Source organism: Homo sapiens, chromosome 10, assembly GCF_000001405.40.
Source record: "Homo sapiens chromosome 10, GRCh38.p14 Primary Assembly".
NCBI lineage: Eukaryota > Metazoa > Chordata > Mammalia > Primates > Hominidae > Homo > Homo sapiens.
The window spans coordinates 91,998,673-92,016,028 of NC_000010.11; the positions used below are offsets into that span (position 1 = coordinate 91,998,673).

Consider the following 17,356-nt stretch of genomic DNA (forward strand, 5'->3'; position numbering starts at 1 on the left):
TTGTATTCCATTGTATGGACATACTGCATTTTGTTTATCCTGTCACCAGTTGATGGATATTTGGATTGTTACCAGCTTTTATTAATAGTTATTATGGGCTGGGTGAGGTGGCTCATGCCTGTAATCCCAGCACTTTGGGAGGCCACAGTGGGTGGATCACTTGAGGTCAGGAGTTCGAAATTAGCCTGACCAACTGAAAATACAAAATGGTGAAACCTCGTCTCTACTAAAAATACAAAAATTTGTGGGGCGTGGTGGCACACACCTGTAATCCCAGCTACTCAGGAGGCTGATGCAGGAGAATCGCTTGAACCTGGGAGACAGAGGTTGCAGTGAACCAAGATGGTGCCACTGCACTCCAGCCTGGATGACAAAGTGAGACTTCCTTTCAAAAAAAAAAAAAAAAAATTAAGTTATTATGAATAATGCTGCTCTGCATTTATAAGTCTTTGCGTGGATGTGTGTTTTTATTTCTTTTGAGTAAATACTTAAGAATGAAATGCTGGATCATATGGTAAGTTTAATTTTTTTTATAAAACTGCCTTATTGTTTTCCAAAGTAACTGTATCATTTGACATTCCTACCAGCAAAATAATGAGTTATAAATAGGATAGCCTCTTTGAAAAACAGTTTGGTTATATCTGGTAAAATTGAAGCTACCCAGCCTAATGACCTGAAAAATTCATCCTACATGTACACCTAGAGAATTCAACACATTTTCAAGACTTTTTTTTTTTGAGACGGACTTTTGCTCTTGTTGCAACCAGGCTGGAGTGCAATGGCGCGACCTCAGCTCACTGCAACCTCTGCCTCCCGGGTTCAAGCGATTCTCCTGCCTCAGCCTCCTTAGTAGCTGGGATTACAGGCATGCGCCACTGCGCCCTGCTAATTTTGTATTTTTAGTAGAGACGGGATTTCTCCTTTTTGATCAGGCTGGTCTAAACTCCCAACCTCAGGTGATCCTCCCGCCTTGGCCTCCCAAAGTGCTGGGATTACAGACGTGAGCCACCACACCTGGCGAAGAATATAACATCATTTATAGTAGTCTGAAACTGAAAATCACCCACATAATCATGGATAGTAGATATGTAAATCATGTACTGTTATACTGCAAGAAGACAAACCACAGACACATACAGTAATATTCATAAATCTTTAACATAGGATTCCTTTTTTATTAAATTCAAAAACAGGCAAAAGAAACTTGGTGATAAAGGTATAAAGAAAAATAAAGAAATTACCATAAAAGTCAGTGAAATCATTACCTCTTGAGGAAAGGAGAGAGAAGGTTATGATTGGGAAGGAGCATATGGGATCTTCTAGGGTGACTGCAGGGGTATTTTTCTTGATCTGGTTGTATAGATGTTTGTTTTATAATTTACTAAACTGTTTCTTAGATTATTTCTCTATATGTATATTTTACCTCACACTAAAAAAAGTGTGAAAAAAAATTACCACTGCAACAACAAAGATACTAGACCACAGTATCAAAATACCTAGGTGTCATTTCCAGAATTGTTTTCATCCTCTGCTTCCTAGATTTTAACTCAGATTCTTTCAACTCCAAGATCTTCATCCCACCTTTAAACCAAATGGGTTGTACTTAGTCTCCTTGGCCCTTTCTTAGCTTTGGAATAAGTGAGCAGTGGGAAGCTATTATGTGTTCTTTAAACAAAGGAGATGATGACCGCAGTTTTTGTTTGTTTTTAAGGAAAATTAGTCTAACAGCTGAAAGTAGTATTTTAGGAAAATCAGTTTAATAGCCATTTGAATATGGATTAGAATTGAAAGTGCGCCAAAATAGAGCTCACATCCACTGTGAGGTGATAAAGGGTCTAAACTCTAATGCTTAGCAGTAGTCTTTTGGGGTTTTCTTGGTTGTTTTTTGTTTGGTTGTTTGTTTGAGTTGGAGTTTTGCTCTTGTCACCCAGGCTGGAGTGCAATGGTGTGATCTTGGCTCCTGCAACCTTTGCCTCCTGGGTTCAAGCAATTCTCCTGCCTCAGCCTCCCTAGTAGCTGAGATTACAGGTGCTGGCCACCATGCTAATTTTTTGTATTTTTAGTAGAGACGGGGTTTCACCATGTTGGCCAGGCTGGTCTCGAACTGCTGGCCTTAGGTGATCCGCCCACCTCAGCCTCTCAAAGTGCTGGGATTACAGGCATGAGCCACCCGGTTTGTTTGTTCTTAAGGAAAAATAACAGTACTTGATAACAGATTGACAAAAGAGATTTTGAACTTTAGGTATTGAGAAAAGATTAGTAAGACTCACTTTGATAGTTGTGAAAATTACTAGAACATGATACAGATTTTGCTTCTGGCCATGATGGAAAAACAGGCAACAGATTTATCCTCCTGCCTTAACTAGAAAACCAGACAAAATGTACCAAACAGTGGTTTTCAGGCATTGGACAACAGGCAGCACTGGATAGTGAACCATGAGAGAAACGAAACAAATGAAGTGCCCTAGCTTATTGTCTGGAGGCATAGCACAGAGAAGGGAAACCCAAAGAGAGCCCAGTAGTCTTGCTGAGCTGAAGAGTTAAGACAGAATTAGCAAAACAGAGTACCTGAAGGTAGGTACTGCACAGACAGGAGGTAGCTGCACAGAGAGAAAGCTCCAGAGGTCCACAGGGGGGTTCTCCCAAGCCTTTGGCTGAGTATTCATCTGCATGTACTGTGACATCTTTGAGACTGGGGAAAGAGTCACTGTGGAAAGGAGTAGGTGGAGCAATTTCCAGACCTCACACAGGGCTGGGAATAGTTTGTATTTCCACTAAGCAGAGTAAGAGTAACAAGACCTTCTACCATACTGAGCATCAAGTCCTTAGAAGCATATTGCCTCAGTAATAGAGCCAAGTTAGCCCTTGACAAAAGGCTGATTTGGATCTTCCTTGATAAAGCTTAAAAGCAAGCCTTAACGGGTTCTAATTAATTTCAGCTAAACTAAATAGTTCCCAGAAAAAAAAGCCTCAACATATTTAAAGGAATAATTTAAAAAAAATACAGCACCCAACAACATAAAACTTCAGATGTTTGACATTCACCAAAAAATTACCACGCCCAAAAATATGTCCAGTAACTGGGGGAAAATACAGTCAACAGAAACAGTCCCTGAAGAGACCCAGATAATAGATAAGGACATTAAAATATACTCCAAGGCTGAGTGCAGTAGTTCACCTCTGTAACACCAGCACTTTGGGAGGCCAAGGCAGGCGGATTCCTTGAGCTTAGGAGTTTGAAACCACCCTGGACAACATGGTGAAACCCTGTCTCAAAAAAAAAAAAAAAAAAAAACCATATATATATATATATACACACACACACACACACACACACACACACTCCATATATTCAAGGTAGAGGAGGAAAGCATGAGTGTGATGACGAGCACAATGAAAAATATAAGAATGACCCAAATTGAACTTCTAGAGATGAAAAATGCAGTTATAAATAAAAACACACTGGATTGCATTAATAGCAGGTTAGACACTGTGGAAGAAAATATTAGTGAATTTGAAGATACATAGCAATAGAAACAAGAATGATGTCGTTTAAGTTCATTCCTGTTCCTCTTTATTTTGATTCTCTCTGTTAAGTCTTCATAGAAAAAATCATCTACTTTTCTGAAATGCATGTTGTCAAAGAATCTTGGAATGTCAACCAGTGATTTTTATAGAGGCTCTAATTCCCTGCACTGTTAGTAACTTTTGCTGATTTTTATGGACATTGGAGTGAGAAGGACACTCACGAGGGGTTGCTGGCACTGAAACAATATTCGTAACACTTGGGTTTAGGGTTTCATTGTTAGGGAATGGACCTAGTTATATGGCCCTGTGTCTTGTCATTTCTTAAAATTTCCATGAGGATAAATATATGAAGATTTTGGTATTTGTAAAGCGTTGTGCAGAAAGACTTTATTTTAATGATTATCATTATGTTGTTAGATGTTCTGAAATGTTAGTTTTTCTCTTAGCAGATAAAGTTAATTCCAATACCTTTGAAAATAGACTCAATCTACATACCTCACTGCCCTAATGCTATTTTTAGTGTTGTGTGGAATATATATTTTAATTAGATTTAATTGAAATTCTGTTTCCAGAATTTTAAATTTCTTAAGTTGAGAGACATCATAGGACAGTAGTTCTCAAATTTTTTGGTCTCATTACTTTTTTAGTCTTTCATTTTTTATTAATAAAAAAAATGTGGCTGAGCATGGTGGCTCACGCCTGTAATCCCAGCACTTTGGGAGGCCGAGGTGGGTGGATCACGAGGTCAGGAGTTCAAGACCAGCCTGACCAACTGGTGAAACCCCATCTCTACTGAAAATACAAAAGTTAGCTGGGCATGGTGGCACGCACCTGTAATCCCAGCTACTCAGGAGGCTAGGCAGGAGAATCGCTTGAACCTGGGAGGCGGAGGTTGCAGTGAGTTGAGATGGGGCCACTGCACTCCAGCTTGGGCGACAGAGTGAGACTCCGTCTCAAAAAAAAAAAAAAAGTTACGGCGTCCAACATGATGTTTTGAAACGTATCAGACCAATTAATATACCTTAGTTCATACAGTCATCATTTTTTTGGTGAAAACCCATTTAATTAAGTTTTAATCTTTTAGCAGCTTTCAAGTGTATTTATCATTAACTGTAGTCACCATGCTGTACAGATCTACAGAATGTATTCATTCTATGTAAACTTTGTACCCTTTAACCAGCATCTATCCATTTCCCCTCAGTCCTCTCCCTTCCACGCACTAAGCACCTAGTAACCACTATTCTACTCTGCTTCCATGAGTTTGACATTTTAGATTTCCACATATAAGTGAGATCACATATTTGTCTTTCTGTGCCTGGCTGGTTTCCTTTAGCATAATGTCATCCAGGTTTATTCATGTTGTCACAAATGACAAAATTACCTTCTTAGAGGCTGAATAGTATCCAGTTATATATAGATACACTACAGTTTCTTTATCCATTCATCACATAGACGAACACTTGGGTTGATTCCAAATCTCAGCTATTGTGAATAATGCTGCAATGAACACAGAAATACAGATATCTCTTCAATGTACTGATTTCATTTCCTTTGGATATATAACCAAAAGTGGGATTGCTAGATTATATGGTAGTTTTATTTTTAATTTTTTGAGTAACATCCATACTGTTTTCCATAATGCTGTACTAATTTACATTCCCACCAACAATACGCAAGGGTTCCTGTTTCTCCACATCTTCCTCCACACGTTTTGTCTTTTTAATAATAGCTATTCTAACAGTTCTGAGGTAATATCTCATACCAGTTTTAATTTGTGTTTCCCTGATGATTTATGTTGAGCATTTTTTCATTTATCTGCTGGCCATTTGTATTTTTTTTTTAAGAAATACCTATTCAGGTCCTCTGCCCATTTTTACATCTTATTTTCTTTCTGTTGAGTTGAGTTCCTTTTATATTTTAGATACTAACCTCTTATCAAGATTTATGGTTCGCAAATAATTTTTCCCATTCTGTTGGTTGTCTCTTCAGTCCGTTGATTGTCTCCTGTGCTATACAGAAAGCTTTTTAGTTTGATGCAGTCCTATTTGTCTATATATGTTGAGTATCCTTTATCTGAAATGCTTGTGACTAGAAGTATTTAAGATTTCAGATTTTTGAATGTTTGCATTATACTTACCAGTTGAGCATCCCTAATCTGAAAATCTGAAATCTGAAATGCACCATTGAGCATTTCCTTCATTTGTAATGCTGGAAATAACAATGTTTTAGATATTTGGATTTGGGATGCTCAACCTATGTTTTGATTGTTTTGGGTTTTTGTTTTTGAGAAAAGGTCTCACTCTGTTGCCCAGGCTGGAGTGCAGTTGTATGATCATGGCTCACTGCAGCTTCGACCTCCTGGGCTCAAGTGATCTTTCCACCCCAGCCTCCCAAGTAGATGGGACTACAGGTGTGTGCCACCATGCCCAGCTAACTTTATTTATTTTGTGTGGAGATGGGATCTCCCTCTGTTTACCCCGGGCTGGTCTTAAACTCCTGGGCTCAAGCAGTCCTCCTGCCTCAGTCTCCCAAAGTGCTGGGATTACAGGGGTGAACCACCATGACTGGCCTGTATTTTGATTTTGTTTCCTGTGCTTTTGGAGTCATATCCAAAAAATTTGTCCAGACCAGTGTCAAAAAGGCTTTTTTCTTATTTTTTTCCAGTAATTTTATAGTTTCCAGTCTTACATTTAATTTTTTGATCGTGACCTGAGTTTTGAACTTGGTGTAAGATACAAAGGTCCAGTTTCATTCTTCTGCATGTGAATATCCAGTTTTCCCAACACCATTTATTGAAGAGGCTGTCCTTTCCCCTTGTGTGTTCTTTTGTCAAAGATTAACTGTAAATGCATGCATTTATTTCTAGGCTCTCTAGTCTGTTCCATTGGTCTTTGCTGTTTTTATGCCAACATCATACAGTTTTGATTATTATACCTTTGTAGTATATTTTGAAATCAGGTAGCGTGATCCCTCCAGCTTTGTTCCTTTTGCTCAAGATTGCTTTGGCTATCTGGGGTTTTTGTGGTTCCACATGAGTTTTTTTGTTTGTTTGTTTTTATAGAAAGCTTATTCAGAGGGATAATAGAGAACCATATGAGTTTTAGGATTGCTTTTTCTATTTCTGTAAAAAATGCCACTGGAATTTTGGGGATTAGGGATCCTCTGCAATTTAGGGATTGCATCACATCTATAGATAGTTTTGGGTAGTATGGACATTTTAACAATATTAATTCTTCCAGTCCAAGAACATTTATTTTCCATATTTATGTCCATTTATTTGTGTCCCCAGCAGTTTCTTTCATTAATGTTCTATAGCTTTCAGTGTATAGATCTTTCACCTCCTTACATTTATTCCTATTTTATTTTTTGTTGCTATTGTAAATGGGATTGTTTTCTTGATTTCTTTTTTCACATAGATTGTTGTGTCAGGACCTTGTTACACTCTTAAAAATTGAAGACACCAAAGAGCTGTTGTTTATTATATTTTCTGTAATAGATACTAAAACTGGGAAATTTTTAAATAATTCATTTAAATAACAAACCTACATGTTAACATAATTAACTTTTTTGATGAAAATAACTTTTCTAAAACAATGTGTTAGTGAGAAGAGTGACATTGCATTATACTATTGCAGATCTTTTTTATGTCTGGTTTATGTTTTTGTTTTTTGGGTTTTTTTTTTTTCCTTGAAACAGGGTTTCACTCTGTCACCCAGGCTGGAGGACAGCAGCACAATCACAGCTCACTGCAGCCTCAGCCTCTCCTGGACTCAAGCGATCCTCCTGCCTTAACCTCCCAAGAAGCTGGGACTACAGTCCCATGTCACCACACCTGGCTATTTTTTAAAATTTTTTGTAGAGATGGGGTCTTGCTATGTTACCCAGGCTGGTCTCAAACTCCTGGGCTCAATCCTCCACCACACCCGGCCAGTATTTCTGGTTTAATGGTAGATAACTGGATTCTCATGTTTGCTTGGCCATTCAGTCTGTTGCAATATGTTGTTTTGGCTCAGGGATATATAAAGGAAGTCCAGCCTCACAGAGATAGTTAGAAAAGGGAGCAATATTTTGACAGCCTTCTCAAATAATTGTGGATATTATTTTATCTGATAGCATACCAGAACTCAAAAAGAGAAAGTTTGTTAAGTGTTATGTGCAATATAGAATCTAAATCCTATCAATGAATGTTTCATACTCTCTTACATTGAAATTCATTGGTTGTCTTACACTTTTGTGATCATGGTATCTCCCCTGCCAGGTAAGTATGTCTTATACTTTTGAATGGATCTTTTATTACCCATACATGTTTTGTAACATCATGCGTCAGTCATTTGGAAAATATTGGTTCATTGAGTTACGTAAATCTTCCACAGGTGGACACAATTCATTATATAATATTTTAAAAATCATGTTTATTATCAACAGCATAAAATTGTTTTTATTGGAAACTGTCAGCTTCTCTTGAAAATATGAATTTTATCAGTGACAACAAGTTAATGTGAGTTGTTTTCCTTTAAGTGACAAGTTCATTTTTGAGAAAATGTCAGCCAAATACCAAAGTCGGAATACCCACAGTTTATCAGTCCTTTCAAGTAAAATGTTGTTCCATTAAAAAATGGCTATGTTAATATACTTTCTTTCTCCTGGGCACAGTTTGTCTAAAGAAAAGTAATAATTATTTTCTGGTGTTTCCAAGTTTAATACCCATAAATCTTTATTTTAAGAATATGAAACATCAACCACAAACAGAACATACAGTTAGTACATCCAGGATGGATATATAATATAAACACTACTGAGTTTGTCAAGGAAATTCTTGGAGTATTAAAGACTTCATATTTGGGTTTTTTTTTTTAAAATGGCTAGTTCAGCTCCTCAACAGATTGTACTTTGATAAGCAGCAGAATTCACAGTTTTTTTCCTCACAGAATGTTAAAAAAGACATGCATTAAAGGGTTGAGATTTATTAAAATCGATCATTTTTACTGCTCTATCAAGGTATTTTTTGTCTTTTTTTTTTTTTTTTTTTTTTTTTTGAGATGGAGTCTCGCTGTGTCACCCAGGCTGGAGTGCCGTGGCACAATCTCAGCTCACTGCAACATCTACCTCCCAGGTTCAAGCGATTCTCCTGCCAGCGTGGGGTAGCTAGGACTACAGGTGCACACCACCACGCCCAGCTAATTTTTGTATTTTTAGTAGAGAGACAGGGTTTCACCATGTTGGCCAGGCTGGTCTTGAACTCCTGACCTCAAGTGAGCCGCCTGCCTCAGCCTCCTGCAGTCCTGGGGCTGGGATTACTGGTGCGAGCCACCATGCCTCGCTTATCAAGGACATTTTTAAGTAACACTGGCTATTTGAAAAAATGCTAATGTATAGTTCTAAGAAATATGACTACTAGCACATTTTGGTGCCATTGCCTTGATTCTTTCAGAGGTACACGCAGTTTTCTCCATGGTAACTTTTGTAACATCTACGCAGATATCAACATGGTGATTAAAAGCAAATAATGTTTTTCTTTTATTATGAAATAGTTGAAAAGGTCTTAGAGATCCATAGGGGTCGCGCAGACCACATTTTGAGAGCTAATACCCTAGGGTATCAGAACACTAAAATTGAGAAGTGCCAGTAATGGCATTTAATTCAAAATTAAACTATGCAACTTTATATGCCTCTTTATCAAATAATGCATAGTGTGGGAAAATGAAGTTGTAGATTATGGTCTTTCAGATATTCCATATGTATTTACTAGTAGACTAATTGTAGCACCTTTAATGCTTGTCAATTTCTTTAACCTGATTTGTCTTCAAGTCTTTGTACAATTTTCAGAATTCTTTTTTCTGTGTGTTTGTTTTGTGTTTATTTGATCTAAGAATGAAAACTGTGAGTACGTAGTTTTTAATAACTTTAAAAAAATCATTTTAGGCAGGCATTCCAGACCCTCCAAACATGTCAGCAGAATTAATCCAATTGAAAGCCAAGGAGCGACACTTTTTGGAGCAATTGTTAGATGGGAAAAAATTGGAAAATTATAAAATTCCAGTACCAATCAATGCTGAACTCAGAAAATATCAGCAGGTAAGTTTTATACAATAGTGAGTTTTCCTTTCAAATGAACCTTGAAGCGTTGTGGGTTTGTTGGGGGGGGCTTTTGTTTCTTTTTTGAGACAGAGTCTTGCTCTGTTGCCCAGGCTGGGGTGCAGTGGCAGAATCATGGTTCACTGCAGCCTCAAACTCCTGGACTCAGGCCATCTTCCCACCTCAGCCTCCCAAGTAGCTGGGACTATACATGTGCACCACTATGGCCAGCTAGTTTTTTTTTTTTTTTTTGGTAGAGGCAGCGTTCTCATTTTGTTGCCCATGCTGGTCTTGAACTCCTGGCTTCAAGTGATCCTCCCACCTTGGCCCCCCAAAGTGCTGGGATTAGAGATGTGAGCCACCATACCTGGCCTTAAAGCATTTTGTAAAATCGATTTAGTAAAATCTTGTGTTTAGTGTCTTATACCCATTTATTTCTCTTTTGCATATAGAAATATTTTTGTTTTGTGCAAACGTTGTTTATAAGAAAATGTTTTTATAAGAAAAAATAAATTTATGATGTATTCACATTTATGATTTTTCTCTCTATCAGGATGGTGTGAACTGGTTAGCATTTCTTAATAAGTATAAACTTCATGGAATTCTGTGTGATGACATGGGTTTAGGAAAAACTTTACAGTCCATCTGCATTCTAGCAGGAGATCATTGTCATAGGTAATTTAAGATGTTATTTTAAAATAAGGTTTCCGGATTTGGAGAAATGTAAACAAGCTGGTTAATTTATTGTGTTTTGCTATTGTAAAGGGCCCAGGAATATGCAAGATCAAAATTAGCAGAATGTATGCCACTTCCTTCCTTAGTGGTTTGTCCGCCAACATTAACAGGCCATTGGGTGGATGAAGTAGGTAAATTTTGCTCTAGAGAATATCTCAACCCGTTGCATTACACTGGACCTCCCACTGAAAGAATAAGGTAAGAGTTGTATGACAATAACAAAATATTTCATCTGTTGTCATAATTAAGATAAGGAACAGTAACATTTATTAAAGTGAATTCTAATTAGCTCTTTTGGTTGTATGACATAGAAACTTCACTTATGAAAAGTGAATGTACTTTGGGAAGATATAATCAGTGAGGCTCATCAAAATTGAGGAATTTTAACCATTGTACAATAAGTTGAGCTTTCCTAGAGCTGGAGAACTATCAGGAACCAAAGCCATTTTGTATGCCCCTTTTGGGAGTCTGTGACCATAGCATCTTTTTGGTGCTTCTGTTTTATTCTCATTTTCTACCCACTTTCCTGAGAGCTCTCCTTTGAGCCATGTGCAGGGGAATATTCCTGTAGTCCTAACTGTTCAGGAGGCTGAGGCAGGAGGATTGCTTTAGCCCAGGAGTTCAAGGCCAGCCTGGGCAACATAGTGAGTTCCCCTCTCTTAAATAAAAAAGAGTTCCCCTTTGCTTTGTTCCCTTTCCTTCCCTCTCCACAGAAGTACTTTTGTTCCACTATGGCTGCTTTAGCTGCCGCTGCAGTCATGGCTGCACTAAATTTTAGCATTGTTTCAGCTTTACCCCTTCCCTATTAACTAGTACATCTCTTATGTTCCTAACTGTAAATTTTTTCAAGTGGAAGCTCATTGATTTCAGCTCATTGATTTTTTAAAGGTTGGATAGTCATAGTTGCAGATTAGTCCATAGATTTGCTGTACTCCTGTGTTAATAATAGCAAATATTATTATTAAATAATGTTGTTATTAAAATTTTTAGTTTTTATCTTGAGCACTTACTGGCCAGGCACTATTCTAAGCAGCTTTTCTTTTATGTAAAATTGTGTATTATGTATAGAAGGAGCAGGACTGAAAAAAAAACTAAACAAAAAATTGTGCATTATGTATTCTCACAGTCACTTTATGAGGTAGGAATACTGTTGTTCCAATTTGCAAATAAGGAGTCTAAGGCATGGGGTCTGGGTCCAAGGTCACTCAGCTAATTAAGTGGACAGAGTGAGGCTTTGAATACAGTCAGCTCAAAAACTTGCACTCTTGAGCAGTTTACTATAGTGCCTCTTTGATAGAATTCATTCATTTGTAAGTGATAGAAATTCAACTCAATTCTCAGTTTCAATATTCAGTTCTCAATATTCAATTCTGTTAGCTTAAGCAAACAGAAAATTCATTAATTCACTAACTTGAGAATTTCAGGGGCAGATTGTTGCTTCAGGCCCATCTAGATTACTCTCATTCACTCTTCCTCCCCTTACATAACTTATTGTTACTATTGGGCTTCAGTCTACAGTTGGTAGATAAGATGACAATGGGCAGTCTCTGGCCCATATTCTCTTAGCTTGGCAACTGTAGTAAACAGATCTTCCCTCTCTCTCATGAATATATCAGTACTGGAGATGACTGACTGGCCTTGTTTGGGTCATGCTCCCAAAACAACCTTTGTGGTTAGGGGATTAAGTATTGTGAATAGCTTAACCTGGTTCAAATGCTTCATTTCCTTGGTGATTATGGGGACACATGATTGGTAGTTCCCCCACATCACCTAGAACAACATGGAGTGAGAAAGGAATAGTGCCCCTAAGGAAGAGATGTTGGCAAATAAAGTTGAAATGTCCACCATATTTTCAGTCTGATGTTCATCTCTTTTCTAATCAGACTGAGTAGGGCAACACAGCCAGATCATCAGAAGAGTAGCCCTTCAGGGTCATGTATGTAGAGTAAGCAGAAGGGAATGCTGGGCTTAGTGGGCAGATTGAAAGCACTTTATACAAATGGTAGCTATTAAGAACTTTTCAGGGTCTCTGTTTTCTAATTTTATTCATTTCTAAATAAAGGTTACAGCACCAAGTAAAAAGGCACAATCTAATAGTGGCTTCATATGATGTTGTGAGGAATGACATAGATTTCTTTAGGTAAGAATTAATTTTTTTTTTAGAAAAATTAATATCAAATTTGAAGACTCTTAATATTTTCCCACTTTAAAGATTCTTCATATAGTTCCTGACATACAGCAAAAGTTGTAAAATTTTCTATTTATTCTCCCTTAGAAATATTAAATTTAACTACTGCATTCTTGATGAAGGCCATGTCATCAAAAATGGAAAAACAAAGTTGTCAAAAGCAGTAAAACAACTGACTGCTAATTATAGGATTATTCTTTCTGGAACACCAATCCAGGTAATTATTTATTATTATTTTTTTTAATTATTTTTATTTTTATTTTTCATGTTTGCCAGGTGGAGGGTAGGCTTGGTATTTGGCGGTGAATTAAAGAAGATTTTTTATTGTTGTTATAGTAATGATAATTTTCCAGTATATAATTATTGCCTGCTTAATGGTTCATTGGTAAACAAACCAGGTTTTAAAAGTCATTTTTAAAATGTAATTTTAGACTATATAAATAGAAATCTTGTGTCAAAAGTATGAAAGACATAAAAATCAGACTCTACTCCACACTGGCCATTCTCCTTCCATAGTAGTACACTGCAATCTGATTTAGCATTGAAAAGCTAGAGCTGAGTCAGAGGTGAATCATCATATAGTAGAAGTGTGAATACCTGATGTCAGGAGGAAATTGAAGGCAAGCGATTGTAGAAGTTTATTTTGTAAAAGGAAGGAGATAGGTATGTATGTATCTTTAGATACTTTTGAGAAATTATCTTGTCCTCCAGAAGAATTGGTTGCAAATGTTCACATCTAGCTTGGATAGCAAACTTTGGTGGGAAGACCTTGAATCATTCTCAGTAGAGAAGTAGACACCGTGTGACCTCTAAGATTCCTTCCAACTTTAAAAACTGATGATTCTTTATGTACTTACCTACTCTTTCTCTCTCTCCCTCCTTCCCTCCCTCCCTCCCCTCCCCCTCCCTCCCCTCCTGTCCCCCCTCTCTCCCATCCCCTCCTCCCCTCCCCTGCTCTCCTCCCCTCTCCTCCTCCCCTCCCCCCTCCCCTCCCCTTCTCCCCTCCCCTCCCCTCCCCTCCTCCCCTCCCCTCCCCTCCCCTCCCCCCCTCCCCTCCCCTCCCCTCCCCTCCTAGGGCCTCACTGTCACCCAGGCTGGAGTACAGTGGTGTGATTTCAGCTCACTGCAACCTCCACCTCCTGGGCTCAAGCAATCCTCCCACCTCAGCCTCCCAAGTAGCTGGGGCCACAAGTGTTAGTGTTCTGTTCATTAAGTAAACACTGCAGATTCTAATAACCGCAAGAGATAATTACAAGCCTTTCTAAATTTATCAAAAGTTTAAAAATGTAAGGCTGGGCACGGTGGCTCATGCCTGTAATCTCGGCACATTGGGAGGTTGAGGCGGGTGGATCAATTGAGGTCAGGAGTTTGAGACCAGCCTGGCCAGTGTGGCAAAACCCCATCTCTACTAAAAATACAAAAATTAGCCAGGCATGGTGACGCACGCCTGTACTCCCAGCTACTCAGGAGGCTGAGGCAAGAGAATCACTTGAACCCGTGAGGTGGAGGTTGCAGTGAGCCATGATCGTGCCATTGCACTGCAGCCTGGGTGACAGAGTGAGACTCTGTCTCAAAAAAAAAAAAAAAAAAAAGCTTAAAAATATAATTAAAAGGGAAAAAAGCCTCTTTAGGCTGAATTATCAAGATTTATTGTGCTTCAATTTGAAGTTATATGGAAACATCATAGTAATTTAAAGTATGTTATTGCTTTTACTTGGTTCAGACATCGGAAGAAGTTTTTTGGTTTTTAGTTGTTTGCTTTTTAAAGGCCCTTTCTTTTCCTCTTCCTTACAAAAGCCATGGTGGCCCAGAGTCAGGGGGCAGAGGCCCTGAGTAGGATTAGAAGTGTGTCCAAATGAGAGGATAGCCACTGAGCAGGGTGAGGAGGGATTCTTAAAGGGGAAGGTGGGTAAAAGGGTACCTTAGGACCTGCACCTATCAGGAAAGCGTCTGAAATGAAAAAGTGCTGGTTTCTTTTTCTTTTTTTCCATGAAACTTCGATGGTAGAATTGGAAAGAATCTGTGTCTTTGCATTGTGGCCCATAAATACTGAGTGGGCTTGACTTATAACCAAATTCTAATAGGTTGTTGTTGTTGTTGATGATGAAATGGTGATATTGGCCACATTCCTTAAATCTTGCTGTTGAGTGTCAAAATAATCAGAAAGTTATCTTTCTGCTCTTCTATTTAGTACTTCATAAATGCCAACAGTAAATTGTAACACTGTGGACCAAGGCTTATTCTAGGGAAGGAGACTTGAGGATTTCCCCCAGATAGGATACAATATTCTCTCCAAGGATACTGACCTGAATTTTACACACTAAAATAAAGACTTACACCATATGTCTAAAAATATAGTGATAATCTCTCATCTATATGATTATAATAATGGGCTTTCATTAATGTTACTTTTTTAGTTGTAAGGAAATAATCCCAGTACAAAAGATAATTGGTGTTCCTGTTTACAGAACAACGTTTTGGAGCTGTGGTCATTATTTGATTTCCTCATGCCAGGATTTTTGGGTACTGAACGCCAGTTTGCTGCTCGATATGGTAAACCTATATTAGCAAGTAGGGATGCTCGAAGCTCCAGTCGAGAGCAAGAAGCAGGTATGAAAGAGATATAATTATAACCCTGTGTAAGTGAATATAATTTATTCTTAACTTTTTTGAAGCCATTTTCTCTTTAACTATTAACAGGTGTTCTTGCTATGGATGCGCTGCACCGCCAAGTACTACCGTTTCTTTTGAGAAGAATGAAAGAAGATGTTTTGCAGGATCTTCCACCTAAAATTATTCAAGACTATTATTGTACTCTTAGTCCTCTCCAGGTTAGGAATCTCGTGTTTATCATTGTTAGTGGTATGTTTATTAGCAGATTGTTTTGTATGAGCCACAAAACTATTGAATAAAGGGGCTTAGCCTTTGGCTTTATCAGATGCAGATAAAGCCTAAATGATGTGGATGTAAGTTTGAGTGTATGCATTTTGAATATAGCATTAAAACAAAATTCAGTATCATAGTTGCTTTTTAAGTTTTTTTTTTTAAGAGACAGGGTCTTACTCTGTCACCCAAGCTGGAGTGCAGGAGCACAGTCATGGCTCACTGCAGCCTCGACCTCCGGGTTCAAGTGATTCTCCAGCCTCAGTCCCCCAAGTAGCTGGGACTGCAGGCACATATCACCATGCCCGGCTAATTTTTTAAGTTTTGTAGAGACTGGGTCTTGCTGTGTTGCCCAGGGTGGTCTCAAACTCCCAGGGTCAAGCAGTCCTCCCACCTTGGCCTTCCAAAGTGCTGGGATTATAGGTGTGAGCCACCGTCCCAGCCTACAGTTGCTTTCTTTTGTGTCTAGTTAATTGAAAAGATTGCAAGGTATTAAATTGCTAAGGAAATAAGCCAATGTTTATAAAGGCCAAAAATCTGCTTCTGAATGTTGTCATGCTGTCCTCACAACATTATAGGTATTATTAATCCCCATTTTTGCAAATAAAGTGACATTCAGAAAAGTTACATAGCTTGGCTATGGTCATAGAGCTAATACACAATTGTGCAGTGCTAATGGCTTGGGTGATTTCTCAGAAACGCATCATTAGGTGATTTTGTCATTGTGCAAACATCATAGAGTGTACTTACACACACCTAGATGGTATAGCCAATTGTTCCAAGGCTACAAACCTGTACAGCATGTTACTGTACTGAGTACTGTAGGCAGTTGCAACACAATTATATTTGTATATCTAAGCATAGAAAAGGTATGGTAAAAACACAATATTGTATCTTATGGGATGACCATTTTATATGTAGTCCATTGTTGACCTCAATGTCCTTGTGCAGTGCATGACTATGTATCAGAGCTGAGTTTTAAACCTTGGTCAGTGGGACCTCACTCATTCCCTTTGAAGTATTATTTCATTACCTAAAAATGTTCAAAATAAATTTTGCCTTGTGCACAGTTCTGATTTTGTACATAAAGACCATTATTAAAGGAATTTATTGTGAGCCTTTCCTTGTACTTTTCTAAGAATTAAATGGAAACTGTTCCTTGTCTTAGTAAGACATGGCCTCTGGGTCAGAATTTTCTCTTTGAAAATTTTTTTATGTTCTAGGTTTGTATGTGTCAGTCTATCTTACTATTAGGATTTGATTCACTACGGTCAAATGAATAAGAGATATACATACCCAGAAACTTACTTTTCCCCCCTCCATTGTATAGATGGTTAACCTGTTAACAGGTATTCATCTATTCAACTTGGGCAGGATAAGAAGTTGAGAGTTCTTTGATTCTTCTGTACTATCTGCCTCATCTCTCAGGTCCCTCTTCCTTCATTTGCAAAAATTAATATTTCTTGAAAGGAATACATTTTTGAAGTAATGAAATGAAGACTTCTTAAAGTAGGTACAATAAGGAAAAGATGTCATGTGAAAAAAATCTGTGGTGATTTACTGGTTGTGGTGCTGTAACATAGGCATAAAATGCATTTAAGTAATCAATCTAGAGAAAGCGAGCTCCAAAGAGAAATGGCATTTTGGCTTTGTTTAGCATTCACAGATTTTTTATTCTCTGATTTCTGTCCTTTAGCTCTCTAGATTTTCTTTTCTTTCACATTATTTTAGCTTGTACAAGATAGGAACCCAGACCCCAGCGTAGTACTTTAAAACTTGACATATGTTCCCCTTTTAGGCTAGCAGTAACATTCTTGTAAAATTTGGTGTCTTGAAACATACATACAGGGTCTTGATCATGTAACTTCATTTAAGGAAGATTTTTCTCATTTACTTCTAAGAGTTTCTTTTTTTCTTTTTTAAGACTCAATTTTTCTAAGATTTTCT

General features: G+C 37.9%; 1 protein-coding gene across 20 annotated transcripts in view; it reads left to right on the forward strand.

The window, feature by feature from the left end:
• The window catches only part of BTAF1 (B-TFIID TATA-box binding protein associated factor 1), a 107,668-nt gene that overhangs the window by 74,903 nt on the left and 15,409 nt on the right, over window positions 1-17,356 (forward strand). For 18 of the 20 annotated variants that reach the window (NR_165093.1, NR_165097.1, NR_165099.1 and 15 more), the window contains 7 exons: window positions 9,451-9,603; window positions 10,157-10,278; window positions 10,369-10,536; window positions 12,401-12,478; window positions 12,614-12,743; window positions 14,995-15,136; window positions 15,227-15,357. Coding sequence is in view for 6 of the 20 variants with exons in the window: in NM_003972.3 (NP_003963.1) it covers window positions 9,451-9,603; window positions 10,157-10,278; window positions 10,369-10,536; window positions 12,401-12,478; window positions 12,614-12,743; window positions 14,995-15,136; window positions 15,227-15,357 (924 nt within the window). In the remaining 14 variants the exon portion in view is untranslated. The remainder of the gene's footprint in view (window positions 1-9,450; window positions 9,604-10,156; window positions 10,279-10,368; window positions 10,537-12,400; window positions 12,479-12,613; window positions 12,744-14,994; window positions 15,137-15,226; window positions 15,358-17,356) is intronic. The other 2 variants (NR_165101.1, NR_165090.1) reach the window with 1 other exon arrangement.